This window comes from Homo sapiens, chromosome 12 (genome assembly GCF_000001405.40).
Source record: "Homo sapiens chromosome 12, GRCh38.p14 Primary Assembly".
Lineage (NCBI taxonomy): Eukaryota > Metazoa > Chordata > Mammalia > Primates > Hominidae > Homo > Homo sapiens.
In genome coordinates, this window is record NC_000012.12 from 107895957 (window position 1) to 107912202 (window position 16246).

The window sequence follows — 16246 nt, forward strand, 5'->3', positions numbered from 1 at the left end:
TCACTGCATATCTCACTATATAATATATATTACTATATATTCCTACATATCACTATATATCTCACTACATATCACCATATACCACTATGTCTATGACTGTATATTATTATACATCACTATGTATCTCACTATATATTCCTACATATCACTATATAACTCACTACATATCATTATTGTATACCACTATGTATACCACTATAAATATCATTACATATCACTATATACCACAATATCTATCAGTGTATATCATGACATATATCATGATACTGCTACATATCACAATATATATCATTATATATCTGCATACCACTATATGTATCACTATATATTATTATACATCTCTATACATCTCACCATATCTCACTATATGTCACAATATCCCTACATATCACTCTATGTCTCACTATATATCATTGTATACCACTATGTATCTCACCATATGCATTATTATACATCACTATACGTCTCATTATATATCACAATATATATCACTATATCCATACATACCATCACATATCTCACTACATATCACTGTATACCAATATGCATATTATTATATATATTATTATACCTTACTATATATCTCACCATATACCACTATGTATAATGGAGGTTCTTCTTCCTCCTATATACACAATGTGGAGGTTTATGCATAAATGTGGACATGTCCTCCTCCCAAGGAGAGTGACCCAGACTCTTCTTGCTCCTCATTCTTTGATGCTCTGAATGACAGGGAAGTGTCACTGCCTGTGACTGACCTTCAGGAGGCGGATCTAAATTCATTCACCCATACTGAGATGTGCTAGACTTGGTGACATAGCTCCAAAGAACCGAGTATAGAGAAGGAAGAGAGTCACTTTAAGGTGGAGCAGGCTGGCACACACGACCTTGACCAAGAGATGAAGGTTAAGGTCAGCAGCGCTGCCATGTGGATCTCATAATTCTGCAGTTGCTTCTAGCTGAGGGAATACTCTTGGTCTACTGTGCACTTGAGTAACTGATGCCCTGGAATGGTCTCAGCAAACGGGCCATACAGGATTCTCCTACTAGCAGGGCTTATCCTCTATGTGTTCCTGGCAGGAGGTGTGTCCTTTTGTATGAATCAACCGAAATCTAAATCACAGGAGTCTATTTGCTGGAATCTTTAAACAGATAACTTCTCAATTAACAGGAAAATGAAAAAATTATTTTATTTATAAGGTTGATGGAAATATCCAGGGAAAATTAAAGAAAACGTAGTAATATTTGCTCTGGTGTTTTGAGTGTGCTTACTTGGGGTTACTACCCTATAAACATCTTGTCCTATCGACATTTTTTCCTCCTAACACTCAACACATTTCTTGTATGGCTTACGAAGTACACTTTCTAGGTGTGATCCAGCTTGGCAGTACAATGAGAAGCATGCCTTTATAGTCTCCTTGAAAGGTTGAGGACTGTTAATTGACTGTGGGGTGGAAATTATATTCTGAGAAGGATTTTAGCAAACATTTTGATTTCACTTATGAAACAAGTCCTTACATCATATAAGTAGACCTTATTTTTACTGGTTGTTGTTGTTTTGTTTGTTTGTTTGCTTGTTTTTTGAGATGCAGTCTCGCTCTGTCACCAGACAGTGGTGCAATCTTGGCTCACTGCAACCTCTGCCTCCCCGGTTCAAGCGATTCTCCTGCATCAGCCTCCCAAGTAGCTGGGACTACAGGCATGCGCCACCATGTCCAGCTAATTTTTGTATTTTTAGTAGAGATGGGGTTTCACCATGTTAGCCAGGATGGTCTCAATCTCTTGATTTCGTGATCTGCCCACCTCAGCCTCCCAAAGTGCTGGGATTACAGGCGTGAGCCATCGCGCCCGGCCACTGGTTGTTCTTAGTTAAGATGTTCACCTGACATGTAATGAAACTGTTGATCTATTTGATTTTCTTAGATGAGCCTGTGAATTATTATGGGTATCACTAGTTTTTAAGTTTTCTTTCTCCTAAACTGAAAAGCAGGGGTATATTTTCTGCTGATGAGATATTAATTATGATGATTGCTAGGCAGTCAAGACTTAATTCTTTTTCTTTTTTTGAGACAGGGTCTCTCTCTGTCACCCAGGCTGGAGTGCAGTGGCACAATCATAGCTCACTGCAGCTTCCAACTCATGGGCCCAAGGGACTTTCCCACCTCAGCCTCCTGAGTAGCTGGGACTACAGGCTCTCGCCACCATGTCTGGCTAGTTAAATTGGTTTGTTTGTTTGTTTGTTTGTTTTTTGTAGTGATAGGATCTCCCTGCATTGCCCATGCTGGTCTTGATTTCCTGAGCTCAAGCAATCCTCACACCTTGGCCTCCCAAAGTTCTGGGATTACAGGCATGAGCCACACCACATTACGCCAAAACTTAATTCTTAATCCTATTTTGTTACCTTCAATATCAGCTGAAATTGAAACAAACACTCAGGCACAGACATACAAACAAGAAAGCCTGGCTTTTGTTTTCTTTTGTTTTTTAGTGGCAGGGTCTCAGTCTGTCACCCAGGCTGGAGTGCAGTGGTGCTATCAGAGCTCACTGCAGGCTTGAAGTCCTGGGCTCAACCAGTCTTCTTGTCTTGTCCTCCCAAAATGCTGAGATTACAGGCATGAGCCACCATGCCCAGCTTTTTTAAAAAAAATGCCTTTTTGGGTAAAAGCCAAATAAGACAACCAAAGCCATGTATCACTACTGTGCTATGAAAATGAGTCTCAGTAGTTCTTTAATATAAACATTCCTATGTAGAAGTAAGTAATGCAAACGGCCCTGTTCCAAAGTCAAAAGGAATTTGACTTTTGCATTATTTTTAAAAAATAATTAAAATCAGAGTTATTTTTAAATTCTTATTCTAAAAATAGGGAAGAGAAATTGCCTAAAAAATACAGCGGTGGATAAAAGAAGAGAGATTAAAATTTCAAATGGATTTGGGAAGTTAAGTGCTGATTAAAGGAGAGATATCAGTTTGTAAGGGATTATCCCTGGGCCTAATTGTTTGAGGATGTGCAGGCTTGTAGGAAATGGGGAGGACAGACAGGCTGTATTAGAATGCCTGTGTCAGGAGGAGAATGGAAGGCTCTTGAAGACAAGGGTGGTTGCTTGTGTTTCTGTTGAATCCCCACTAAATGTAATTTTTCTTTTGGAGACATTGGTGTATGGGCACAGTTCTCAGCAGAGTGCTAATGTCTGGGGAAAATGGTTAAAAACTGAAAAATTACCTTGGCAGTCTGAGGACAAAGCCACAAAACCATAAATTGTTTGGGGGCTTTCTTCAGCTTCACACCTACCAGAAAACTTCTTACCTTTAGAGTTTTCTTATCTATCAAAGGATAAGGTTGCAGTGGTTATTGCCGTGAAAGCTCCCCAAATCTAATTTGCTTTTATCCTTCCCACTGATCTTTCTCCTGCAATTAAAAATGATGAACTGTTTCTGGATTTTGAATTAGGGATTTTTCGTTTCTGTATAATTCTACCTCTGAGGTATTTTGCATTTTCTCTGGGTATATGCCATTAAAGGAGATTTGGATTGCAATTTGGCTGCTTCTTAGGAGAGCAGACAGAATATCACACCATTTTGTTTTTTCTAGTTGCAGCTTTTCATTGATGAAAGCAAAGTTTTGAGTTTGTGAAGTTCTGACATAATTCTTGCTCTTCTGCAGACACATGAAGTGAGTGGTACATCAGAGCGAGTTTTGGAATATACTTGGTCTAGTGGTGAAAAATGACCAGTGCTATGATGACATCCGGGTTTCTCATGTGACCTGGGATAGTTCCTTTTGTGCTGTCCATCCCAGATTTGTTGCCATAATCACACAAGTGAGTGGGGGAGGAGTGTTCTTTGTGCTCCCTCTGCACTAGATGAGAAATTTGACCTTCCATTCTGTTAGACATCTTCTGGTAGTCTCTCTATTTTTTTTCATAATTGATTGACTTTAGAGATTGACCACTCACCAAGTACTGTTGGATTGATGGGGCCATTAAATTCTGATGTAGGTGAGGTTGAGTTCCACATGACTTGCTAACCCCATTCGTTTTTCTCTAGCAGGAAATCATTAGATAATGGTGACATCTGTTCTGGGTGTGTCCTCTATGGATGAAAAAGGTTACCATAATGATGCTGTGAGCACAGGTAGGCAGAGGAATTGTATGATTTAATCCAGAATAATCCACTTTTCATAAAAGTGGAATACAGTTTTAAAAAGTTATGCTTGTGCTCCAAAGTAAAGTTGTAAAAACAATTATATTTTTAATTGGGTGGAAATTTGTAAGATAACGTTCTCTTCCTTATGAAGTCATGAAGGCTGAGACTTCTTGTTCTTTTCCAATAGCAAATGGGATGAGAGCAAAAGAAAGTATTTCAAAACAAATACAGATTTCAAGTCTAGACATAGGATTCAGCATAGGATTTACTAAACAGTATTAACAAGTGGCAGAAATAAAGGGTCTTTACTGAAAGTGGTTCTGTGGGTTCTTCAATTTCAGTTGGCTTCCAAGCCATACTCCTTCCTTCCTTCCTTTATCCTCCCAGAGAGCCACTCCAAGGTGGGAGGTTAGATAGGAATTCCGTACATTTGCTGACCAATCACGAATACTGCAGATCAAAATTTGCACTTACTTTATTAGCAAATTCTGGAATTGCAAATAATGAAGAAAAAAAAAGCTATGAAGAGGGCCTAGAAACAGTTGTTTTTTTAGTTAGCTGATGTGGTTTGGATTTGTGTCCCTGTCTAAATCTCATATTGAATTGTAATCCCCAGTGTTGGAGGAGGGACCTGGTGGGAGGAGATTGGATGGTGGGGTGGATTTTCCCCTTGCTGTTCTTGTGATAGTGAGTGAGTTCTCGCGAGATCTGGTTGTTTGAAAGTGTGTAGCACCTCCCTTCTCTCTCTCTTTCTCCTGCTCCAGCCATGTAGGCCATCCCTGCTTCCCTTTCACCTTCCACCATGATTGTAAGTTTCCTGAGACCTCCCCAGCCATGCTTGCTGTACAGCCTGTGGAATCATGAGCCAATTACACCTCTTTTCTTTATAAATTACCCAGTCTTGGGTAGCTCCTTATAGCAATGTCAGAATGGACTGATACATTAGCTTTTAGGAGAAATATGAGTTTGGTAAGTCCTGAGCTCCCGTGATAAGGACTTGGTACTGGTGAGGATGCCGATGTTGAGTTGCATGACAGCTGTTTCCACTCTGCTTAAAAACACTCAGCTCCCTCCTAAGCCTGAGCCCCATATATTAAGGGTACATCTCATCATCATGGACCATGTGATTCTGAGAGTGGTTACAATAAAGTGAATTTCTGTTAAAGGATTGTTTCCCATTGAATTTTTTTCTTTAATTCTCCTTTTATTTTGGAAAAATTTGAACATATACAAAAGTGGAAATACTATAATGAACCACCACGTACCATTAATCAGCTTCAACACTATCAAGTCCAGTGTTTCCTTTCTCTGCCACTTCCAACTCGATTACTCTGAAGTAAATCCCACAGATATCACTTCATTCATAATTAAGTTATGTACCCCTATAATGCAAACTCTTTCCTTTTATTTACCAATTTGAAAATAATGAATCTGTTCCCAAGTATCCTACAAAGATGATTACTGAGTTCTTTTAAGTATTATTTTGAACTCGTTAAACATATCTGATGCAGGATGTGCAAACTGTCTATCTTTTGCCAACAGGAGCCTTTTCATGTTGCTTGAGTTCTTCTGACATGGCCCTAGTAATCCTTGCTAGCTTCCTTAATCTTTCATATGACCTTGTTGATGTGACCATGTTCCCACATTATTTGAACATTTCCTGACCCAGTTCTGGAATCAACGACCTCTCCAAAGAGCCTGGAGTTCCTTTTAGAGAGAATGGTATGTAGACACAATCAACAAAATCTTCCTCCCATGCCCAACACCTCAGTTCTCAGTAACACCAACATAATTACTCATTTGCTTTATCCCCCAATACACACACAACCATCTCAAAATAACAGCAACAGTCTAGTAATAACATGTTTATTGAAAATACTAACACTGTTACGTTCTTTTCATTCTCAGGGTATATTCCACTAGAGATGTATTGCCCTATGTTTTGAAGTCACCTAGAAGAGTTCTTAGTGTGGGTATATGACTACATCAAGAGTTTTTTACTTTTGATGATTAGGGACTGCTTCTTAAAACTTATTTTAAAACTGATTTTAGTATCTTAAAATACTCACACAGTTCCGAAGTCACATTTACATAAACAAGGCATATTTGAAGTCCAGGTTTCATCCTTGACCCTCCTACTCTAGGCTCTTCCTTCTCCTAAAGGTAAGCATTTTCATTCTTTATCCTTTTCATCTTATTGGTATGAACACATGTGTGTCCCCTTCCAGGCAGTCTTCAGTAATGTCACATGTTCCCATGACACCTGTATTGTACTCTTATCAGTCATTACATGGAATTTATCTTCCATAAGTATTATTTGGGGTCCTCCATGAGACTGTGAGCATGACCACTGGAGGGTTGCTTCCCATTATATCCATATTATCAAGCACAAGGTCAGGCACAGAGTAAGACTCAAACATGTTTTGGAATGTATGACTGGTATGAACTACAAACCAGTAAGCTGATGTTTTCATTTTGAGTCTATAAATCTAATGTTTATGGTGGCTTTGTGTATGGCTCAAGGCTCAAATTGTAAAACTTAACATTATGTGACCAAAGCAAGTTATACCCAGAACCTCAATTTCCTCACCTTCAAAACGGGGCAGAGTTTCTGACTTACTGGTCTACTCTCAGGATTTTAATTAGCTCATGCAAAAACAGCCCTTTATATAAGGTTAAGTGCTGGATAAATGTTGGCTACTATAATAAAATAAGCCTCTAAGATACTTGGTCAGCACAGGCACTACCCAAGAGTATGCACTGCAGATAAACTGACAAAATTGTGTATCTAAAACTGGCCAGATGAAAGAGAAACTTTTAAGGGGCCCTTCTGCATGCCCGACACTGTGCTAGGCACTCACACTATCCCGACCTGAGAAAAAGATCTGGGACCCAGAGGAACTTACCAAGCCTCCAGCATCTTGTGTAGCCCTACTCGTGGGACCATCTGGATACCCGCCTCCTCTTGTCTTTATAGGGAGCAGAACACACCTGATATATGTCAGGAAACAAAGTCCAGGAAGTATATTTTCACCTGAGGCAATCCTTGAAAATTGTAGGCTCCAGCCTCCAAAGTGAGTCTTCCTCTCAGTACCTCTCTTCTAGACACATTGAGACCTTTCTTCCAAGCATTAAGTTTAACCACTTAATGAATGAAGTCCTGAAACTGCTTAACCATGCTCCCTATAATATCTGAATAATCTTCCTTTTCCGCAACCTCAGGCATAATCTCATCTTGTTTCTATTACAATTTCAAATTCTGGAAAAAGGAAGTTGTGGTCTGGAGTTGTAAGGTCCAAATGATCTGGTTGTGCACAAGCCTGCTTATGTCCCAATCTCCAGTCTAGGGTCTGATGCTCCTTGCTGCAGTAATACGCTTTGTGGCATCTGGAGCAAGTTTTGGGGCCTAAACAGCCACAAACACTGCAGAGATGAGCACCAGACTTAAGTTGGAGATACACCGATTCTCCTGTTTCTGGGGAAGGATTCTCAGAAGGTGGCTCATATGAGTAAAAATCATTTTTCCTGGGTAGCTGATTCCTAGAAACTCGCAGGGCGGCACAGCACGGCGGCTCGTGGCAGCAGAAGAGGAAGATGCCGCGGTGGAAGGCGTCTTCGCGGCCGGGCAGCGACGCGTACACCTGCCGCCGGAAGAAGAGCGACGGTCGCACAGCTCTCAGGCCGGGGGCCGGAGCCCCGGCAGCCCGGCCGCGCCCATCCACGCCCAGCCACGCCCAGCCACGTTGGCCGCCCGCCCAGCCTGCTGGGAAACTGCTCGCTGCGCATTCGCCCGCCGGCGCCGACTTGGCGATGGCCAGCTACACAGGTCCGGCGGGGGCGGCAGCCATGTGGGGCGCGGGCTGGCGTGGGGAGCAGCCCACAGCTGGGCCTCCCATTGAACTTTGATGTGTTTTTCTTTGGAAAACTTTCAACTCTCTTGTATTTTTCTCTCCAAGATACTCCAAGTATATTTTCACCTGTGAGGCAATATCTGAAAATTGTAGGCTACAGCCTCCAAAGTGAGTCTTCCTCTCAGTACCTCTCTTCTGGACACACTGAGCCCTTTCTTTAAACTCTGATTTTTACTTTCTTGACCGACTTGTTATAACATGACACAATAAAACCATCTTGTTACAGAAATTGGGAAAAGGATGTTTTGGGGGAACAGGTTTGATACGTTTCCAATGCACCTTCTTTTTTTTTTTTTTTTTTTTTTTTTTGAGACGGAGTCTCGCTCTGTCGCCCAGGCTGGAGTGCAGTGGCGGGATCTCGGCTCACTGCAAGCTCCGCCTCCCGGGTTCACGCCATTCTCCTGCCTCAGCCTCCCAAGTAGCTGGGACTACAGGCGCCCGCCACTACACCCGGCTAATTTTTTGTATTTTTAGTAGAGACGGGGTTTCACCGTTTTAGCCAGGATGGTCTCGATCTCCTGACCTCGTGATCCGCCCGCCTCGGCCTCCCAAAGTGCTGGGATTACAGGCGTGAGCCACCGCGCCCGGCTCCAATGCACCTTCTTATTGGCAATATTGATAATCAAAATGCAAGGAGAATCTTTTAATTAAGTTGAATTTTATTTTTCACTCGGATTCTTAAATATTTCTGCTGAAGGAATTGCTAAGAGGCCACTTAGTACAGTAGACTATTATAAGTGAACTTGATGATTTTGGAGTAGGCTTTGAACTTAATGACAATAGCATTCCATTATTTTTTAGTTAATTCGTTCAATGAGAGCAAAGGACATTTAGAAACTTCATATTTTCATGTTGAGTTTTATGGTGAACAGCTAAGACAGCCACAGCTTGTCAATCAAGATCAGACACTAGAACGCCCTTATCTGTTTTGGAGTTAAGAGTTTTTATTCCCCTTTTAATAGACTGAAGGATAAATTTAAGGCACTTCTTTTTTTACTTAAAAGAAATGGAGCAATTTAGTTAAAACAATCAAAATAAACTTTTGAATGGTTAATCTTCATCTGAGATCAGATAGTTCCCTTCAACTTCCAAATTCACAAAAGGCTCTGTGAGTCTGTCTTTGCATTTGCAAGCCATGGGAAACTTTGAATTTCACTTTTACCATTTAAAGGAGACCTGTGTGCAGTTCTTATCTAACTGGATCTTATTATTTGGTTTATATTTCTATTAAGTGACTTCCATTTCATGTACATGTGTACATATATACATACATATGTATATGTTTAATTGCCTTTCAGAATTAGGATAAACTATGTTACTTTACAAATTATTATGTGTACCTGAAGTGTTGCTTTTTGGAGGAGTCTCAAGGATTTTTCTCAGGCTATCATATTGTTTGTGTGGCTTTGCTCATTAAATAGTTATTTGTTTTGGAGGAGGTGACATTGGTGTAAACTAAGCCCTGTGACAACCATTAGAAATAAGGTTCCTACTTGGGGTTATTTATTTTTTTTACTGTGGCAAAATTTGCCTGACATTAAATTGACCATGTTAAAGAGTACAATCAGTGGTACTGTGTGCATTCACAATGCTGTACAATAAACACCTCTATCTAGTTTCACAACATTTTAATAAGCCCCAAAGGAGACCTCCATACCCATTAGAAGTCATTCCCCATTTCCCTCATCCCCAGGCTCTGGCAACCACTAATCCGCTTTCTGCCTCTGTGGATTTACCTACTTTGGATATTCCATGTAAATGGAATAATACAGCATGTATTATTTTTTGAATGGCTTTTAAAAAAATAGTATGATTTCCAGGTTTATCCACATTGTAGCATGTACTAGTAATTACAATGGACTGAATGTTTCTGTTACCCCCAAACTCATATGTTGAATCCTAACCTTCAACGTGATGGTATTAGGAGATGGAGCCCTGGGTATGCAATTAGGCATGAGGGCAGACTCCTCATGAATGGGATTAGTACCCTTATAAAAGGGACCCTAGAGAGCTCTGGCATCCTCTTTCCACCATGTGAGGGCATAGTGAGAAGTCAGCAGTCTGAAATCCTGAAGAGGCTACTAACCAGAACCTGACCATACTGGCACCCTGGTCTAGGATTTCCAGCCTCCAGAACAGTGAGAAATAAATTTCAATTGTTTGTAAGCCACCTAGTCTATGGTATTTTGTGATAACAGCCCAAACTAAGACAGTACTTCATTCCTTTTTATGGCTGAGTAATATTCCACTGAATGCATAGACCACGTTTTGTTTATTCAGTCTTGCAATGATGGATTGTGGATAGTGGATAGTCTCATGTTCCCTCTAGATAGCTCTGGGCCTGGGAGCTCTCAGAAGGATATCTGTGGGAGCAGAACCTGTCTTGTGAGTCAAAAACTTAGGTTTCCCCTTCTTTTCTTTTTTCCTCGGTTTCTGTTCCTTGCTTAGTTACTGCCTAGGCTTGGCATCAGCAGCTGCTAGAAATCTGAACCACTATCCACGTTGCCAGGAAGTGTACAAATTTGCCTTATAGGGATGACTGCCCTTTTGATATCTACCTTATAATTTTGGTGTAATAATTAATATTTGGATAAGGATGATAAGTTTTTCATGTTACAGATGACCACCCAGGTGAGAAAAGCTGCTTTTGAGTGTTTTTCTGTCATGTTTTTTGAGCAGTAAATCTTAATTCACTTCAGTCAGTATTCTAAGTGTGTAATAATGACCCTTGGTGGTCTCCTTCTTACTCTCCTAGACCCAGCTCAAATATTACTTATTCTGATTCCCTGAGACGAGGAAGTCATCTTTTGGGCTCTCTTAGGAACCTGTCTGTACCACTAGTTCCCCATTTCTGGTTAAGCATGTGTCTGTGTCTGTATGTGTGTGCGTGTGTGTGTACATGCGCACATGTGGAGATTGCACAATAATCAATATATGTTATTTTAAACTGATAAATTTGTGGTAATTTGCTACACGATCATCTGTAGCAATTACATTAAGTAACCTGTGAAAGGCTGCCCAACTCCTCAGTGATGGAGCTGTGAAGAATGAGAAGAGGGAACCAACATACTTCTTGGAAGATTCTCAGCCACAGGAACTGAAAGGCAAAGGATTTTCTGATTAGTACTCAAATAACTGGAAAATTCAATTAATCAGAGCCTCATTCCAGGCCCTAAGATTCATCAGGAGTTTCTGGATTTGAAATCATAGTTTCTGTAGCAATTGGGACAAACACTGGGGCTACCTTGATGCAGCTGAGAAGTACAGTGACTGCAGAGCTGGGGGAAGAAAGTTCTACATCAGATGCATGCAAAGAGCTGATTCAGAACAGCTTAGCTTTTCCATTTTGGAAATGTGGTTGGGGTTTCTTATTGAGGAGCAGCTATCTGACTTTGTGCCTCTGCTATATTTCTCTCCATTGAACCACATGGGCTGAAAAATTACATCTCTGGGCTATGACCTATTCCTTTTAACAACAAAGAATGACTCTGTGCAGGTGGCCACCACCACCACTACCAAGGTTACAATAGCAGCTCACAGTCATTTCAACCTTTCCTGAATCTGACACAGAGCCCACCTATGAGAGCCATGGAATATATGGGCAGGCTCATAATTTGGCACCCTTTAGTCATCATTCTGCAATATTTACTTGTCATGTATTTATTGGAGGTCAGGAAAATGAAATTGCTATTAATATACTCATACACCTTTTTCAGACTTAGAACTTGGATTAGATTCTTCACACAAAACAGGAAAGGAGAAAAAGTAGGAAAGGAGAAAAATAGGAAAGGAGAAAGAGTTGATTCTAGTCACTCACACCCAGCAGCCAACACAGAGTCAACGACCTGAAAGTATGGGGCAAAATATTCTCTCCTTTTCTCTACTCCATTTCCTCACTTCACTTTTCCTTTGCAGCTTCTTAGGAAACAGATTAAAGGATCAACATTTGGATCATGAAATAAACCACATTTCCAGGAGAAAGCTCTGTATTATGGCTGAGTGCAGTGCAAATCCTCAACAGACAAGAGTTGTTGTTGTCTGTTGTCTCAGCACACTAGTGATGAGAGTCTTCCATTTTTTCACTCATGTTTGCTGTTTTGTCTGGAAGAGGTGTCTGATTTGCATTGTGCCAGTTCTGAGTGTGTGCAAACCTGAGATAACTGGCTACGCATTGCCAGTCTAGTCTAGGGCTAGATTTTGTGCTCCCTGCCTGAGTGGCCTATGTCTTAACCTTGTCAGTCTCTGCTGAGCACTTTGAAGAAGGCACCTCATGTTTTCCTCCCTACCACTCTCTGAGGCAGGTACTGTTGTTGACCCCATTGCCCAAGCTCACTCAGCCATTAAATGGCAGTGCTGAGATTTGAACCCAGCACAGCCTGCCCCAGAGCCTGTGCTCTGGGATTCAGCACTAGGATTCAGCACTTCCTAGGAGCTCATTTAGTGTTGTTGAGGGGTGGCCACATCAAAGGTAAACCCCAGTGTAGCCAGTATGAAAGCAAATGTGAGCTGCTTTGTTGGGAGAAGCAAGGCAGGGAAGGTGTGGGGAGGTATACATGCGCCTGAGCCTCTGTCACAAGTGACAGACTCCCTAGAGGCTAAAGAACCAAGACTTTGGCATATCTCAGATTTGGACAATACTCATTTGTTTTTATACATTCAATTCATTCATTCATTCAATAGGTATTTATCAGGAGCTCAGAGAGCTCTGTGGAGGGTCCCACTGACTCAAACTCCTTCTTCCTTCTCTGAAAATGTCCCTTTACCACCTGGCTGCTTCCTCCTTCTTTTGATATCCAGCTCCAATTTCAACTTCCCCAGCCTTGGTTAGTGTTCCCTCTAGCGTGTATTTCTTAAGTTCTCATTATTGGTTCTTCATCCATTTGTCTCACTAGATTGTAATTGCCCCGAGAAAAAGACTTGCCTTTCAGCTCTCTATGCTCAGTGCCCAGCATAGAGGTCTAGCACAGAATCATCACTCGATACATGTTTTAATAAACTGATATAAAGCACTTGCCTTTTTCTACCATGTGTAAGATGACTTTCCTGAGTGGCGACATGGTTTACAAGGGTTGCATTTTTAGCACTTGGGTGGGGTGGAGACACAGCTTGGGCCTCGGGGTCAGCCCAACTTGTGGTAGAATTGTAGCCCTTGTGGTTTAGACTAGAATCCAGCTTATCTTCTGTACCCAAGACCTGTTATTAATTACTTGGGTGACTTCAGGCAAATTACCTGAGATCTTTATCCCTGTCCATCACTTGTGAATGCGCACTTTATAGGGTGGGTATGAACTTTTTACCCTTATTTTAGTTAAAATATCATGAATTTTGTAGTCTCTTTCTGCAAACAGCCCTCCATGCTAAATCTTGAAAAAAGGAAGATACATACTTAGAGGTACTCTGCTTCTTTTAGGCAGAAGTTGATTCTTTTAAGATGAAAAGAATTAATCTGAACTATGTCACATTCTAGACTTAGGATTAAGCTTTTTTCCTTCCCTTTTTAAAAGATTTTTAAACATTTCCAACTTTGAAGTTCAGCGGTGCCTGTGCAGGATGTGCAGGTTTGTTACGTAGGTAAACCTATGCCATGTGCCACAGTGGTTTGCAGCACACATCATCCCATCACCTAGGGATCCATTGGCCATACTTCCTGATGCTCTCCCTCCTCCCACTCCCCACCCTCCGACAGGCCCCACTGTGTTGTTCCCTTCCATGTGTCCATGTGTTCACATCATTTAGTTCCCACTTATAAGCCAGAACAGGTGGTATTTGCTTTTCTGTTCCTGCGTTTGTTTGCTGAGGATAATGGCCTCCAGCGCCCTCCACATCCCTGCATAGGACATGATCTCATTCCTTTTTATGACTGCCTAGTATTCCATGGTGTATATGTAGCACATATTCTTTATCCAGTTAGACTTAATTTTCTATTGATTACAGAAGAGAGTTTTCTTCCTTGTTTGCCCCAGGCCAGGAGACTTGATGCTGGGCCTATGTTCTCTAGGTAAGATATATGTGTAAGTGATTTGTCCAAGTTTGAATTAAAAGCAAAAATGTTTGAAAAAGCAATCCACATTAAAAAAGACTAAACGTGTAGAGTCTGGACTTCTAGGGATGATCCAGTCTACTCCAAGTCAGAGACCTGTGCTTACAGGCAGGGATGAGTCCCCCGCCTGTGCCTTCCCTGGGGCCACTTGATCCTGGGCTTAAACCCAAACCATCCCTTAAACCCCAAACACTATTTAATACTGAGTCCTTTTAGCCATTGAGCTGTGCTGCTTTCCACACCCCATTAGGTAGGTTACAGGAAATTTTAATCCGTTAAATCTGTCACTGCTCATGTAAGTCAATACTCTCTTCACACTTGATTTATGGAGCAGAGACATGAGAATTCTTATTGTACAGAAGCAATAACAAAGCTTTATTATAAGTTACACAGAAGACACACAAGGGTTCTGGGGGAAAAAACGGGAGAGGAGAGTCAACTGTAGGCAGCAGGGAGTATCCCACCTGCTTCAGGACTGGAGTGAAATAAACCAAGGGCCCTCTGTCTATTGCTATGAGGACTCTGACCACTGGGATAAGACAATTGAAGAGCCTCACACCACCTACTTTCAGACTAAATCTTCAGGGAAGGGGTGGGACTGGAATGCTACCTCTGTCTATTGCTATGAGGACTCTGACCACTGGGATAGGACAATTTAAGAGCCTCAAACTACCTACTTTCAGACTAAAGCTTCGAGGGAAGGGGTGGGACTGGAATGCTATATCTCTAGCCCTCCAGGATGGCAGAGGTAGGGGCTAGCCTTGCATTTCCCAACTAAACAGGCTCACACAAAGTCCAGCCTGGGGGGATGGGTGGGCACTGGCTCCAGGAAGTTCTCCTCTCAGACCAGCATTTCCCTCTTGGACCCCAAGGGAGTGGAACCCAACCTGGAGGAGGAAGGCCCTGCAGAACCCTGGACAGGGGATGAGGGAGACCTAAAGGTGAGGTTCTGCCTTTCTGTGCCCACATGGGAAGTACGGTTCCTAGGGTCAGAGGCTGGCGCAGGCATGCACCTAGGGGCAGCCTTGCTTGCAAGTGGTATTAGGCCCCCAACTTGAAATGTGGGGTTTCTGCTTGGGTAGCCCTCTAGGGATGTGGCTTAAAAAGCATGGGCAACAGTGCCTGCGAACAATTATTCCTGGCGCTGGGTCCCATGGTTTGGGTGCTCTGGCTACAGGGACTACTGCTGTTCAGGCCCAAGCTTCCCCCACGAAGTGTGTGGTGCTTGGGACCCCTCTCTTTTTTGCTGCAGTGCTCTGTATCTGCCTGATGATGAGGAGGGAGCAGGGTCAGCAAGGCTGAGACCAGGAAGTATGAAGAGGTGACTGGATGGAGCTCTAAGGGGGAGAACAGGGGCCCTGGTGAGCTGTGCTTCCTCCCAGACACAGGAGGCATAGAGGTAGCCACTGCAGCAGATTCCAGGAGGGCTACTGGGCCTGGGCAGTCTTGCGTCCTGCGTCCCTCCTCCTGTGCATTAGTCCCAGAGGGTGGAGGGGGTCTGGAGAGGCAGTGGGCAGAGGAGCCATTGCTGCCGCAGGTGGTGGCAAAATATGGGAAGGCTGCAAGGCTCCCCAGTCCCGGATGGCCTTGGCCTCACCCCACAATGCACTTTTGATGCATAGCAGCACTGTTTCCTTCTCCAGGTCCAGGTCTTCAGCCGTGAGTCGGAACCCCAGCTGGGAGGGAGGTACAGCGTCAGAGGCTCCCCTCGCCTGCATGGCAGCAGAGGAAACTTGCATCGAAGGGGCCAGTACTGTGGATGCGAGGGAGCCATTCTTGGAGGTGAGTTTCTGCCCTTGTGTTGCATCTGCTGCCTTTTCACTCCAGATCTTCCTCTGGGAAACCTCTGTAGCCAAAGAGGGAGACCAGGGTCCCTCCTCACTCACTGTCTTTGAGCTCCGGAGGGGCAGCCGGGAGAGGAATGAGGCTGGCCCCCTCCTCCTCTTCAGTGGCGGGAAACCTCCTGTGGTGCTGTGTGAGCTGGAGACAGCATTTTGGGGGCAGGAGCTCACCTAGAAAGGCTGGGATTTCTTGTTCAATCTGACTTCTGATTTCTGGGCATGGAGGTCTCTCTGCAGAGGCCCAGACTTGGGCACGACAGAAGAGAGGCCTCCATTGACCCTCAAGGACCTAAATGTGATCTGTGCACCC

General features: G+C 42.7%; 1 pseudogene across 1 annotated transcript, besides 1 other annotated feature; it reads right to left on the reverse strand.

Annotated features, from left to right (window-relative positions):
- Positions 1-7193: 7193 nt before the first annotated feature.
- On the reverse strand, positions 7194-7815 carry LOC728739 (programmed cell death 2 pseudogene; annotated as a pseudogene). Its single transcript, NR_037629.1, has one exon. The product of NR_037629.1 is annotated as a programmed cell death 2 pseudogene (transcript).
- Positions 7747-7996: a silencer, noted in NCBI's record as "silent region_4824". NCBI's record gives its function as "represses an Ori minimal core promoter by ATAC-STARR-seq in GM12878 lymphoblastoid cells {active_cell/tissue: GM12878}" and the evidence as "EXISTENCE:reporter gene assay evidence [ECO:0000049][PMID:35858748]".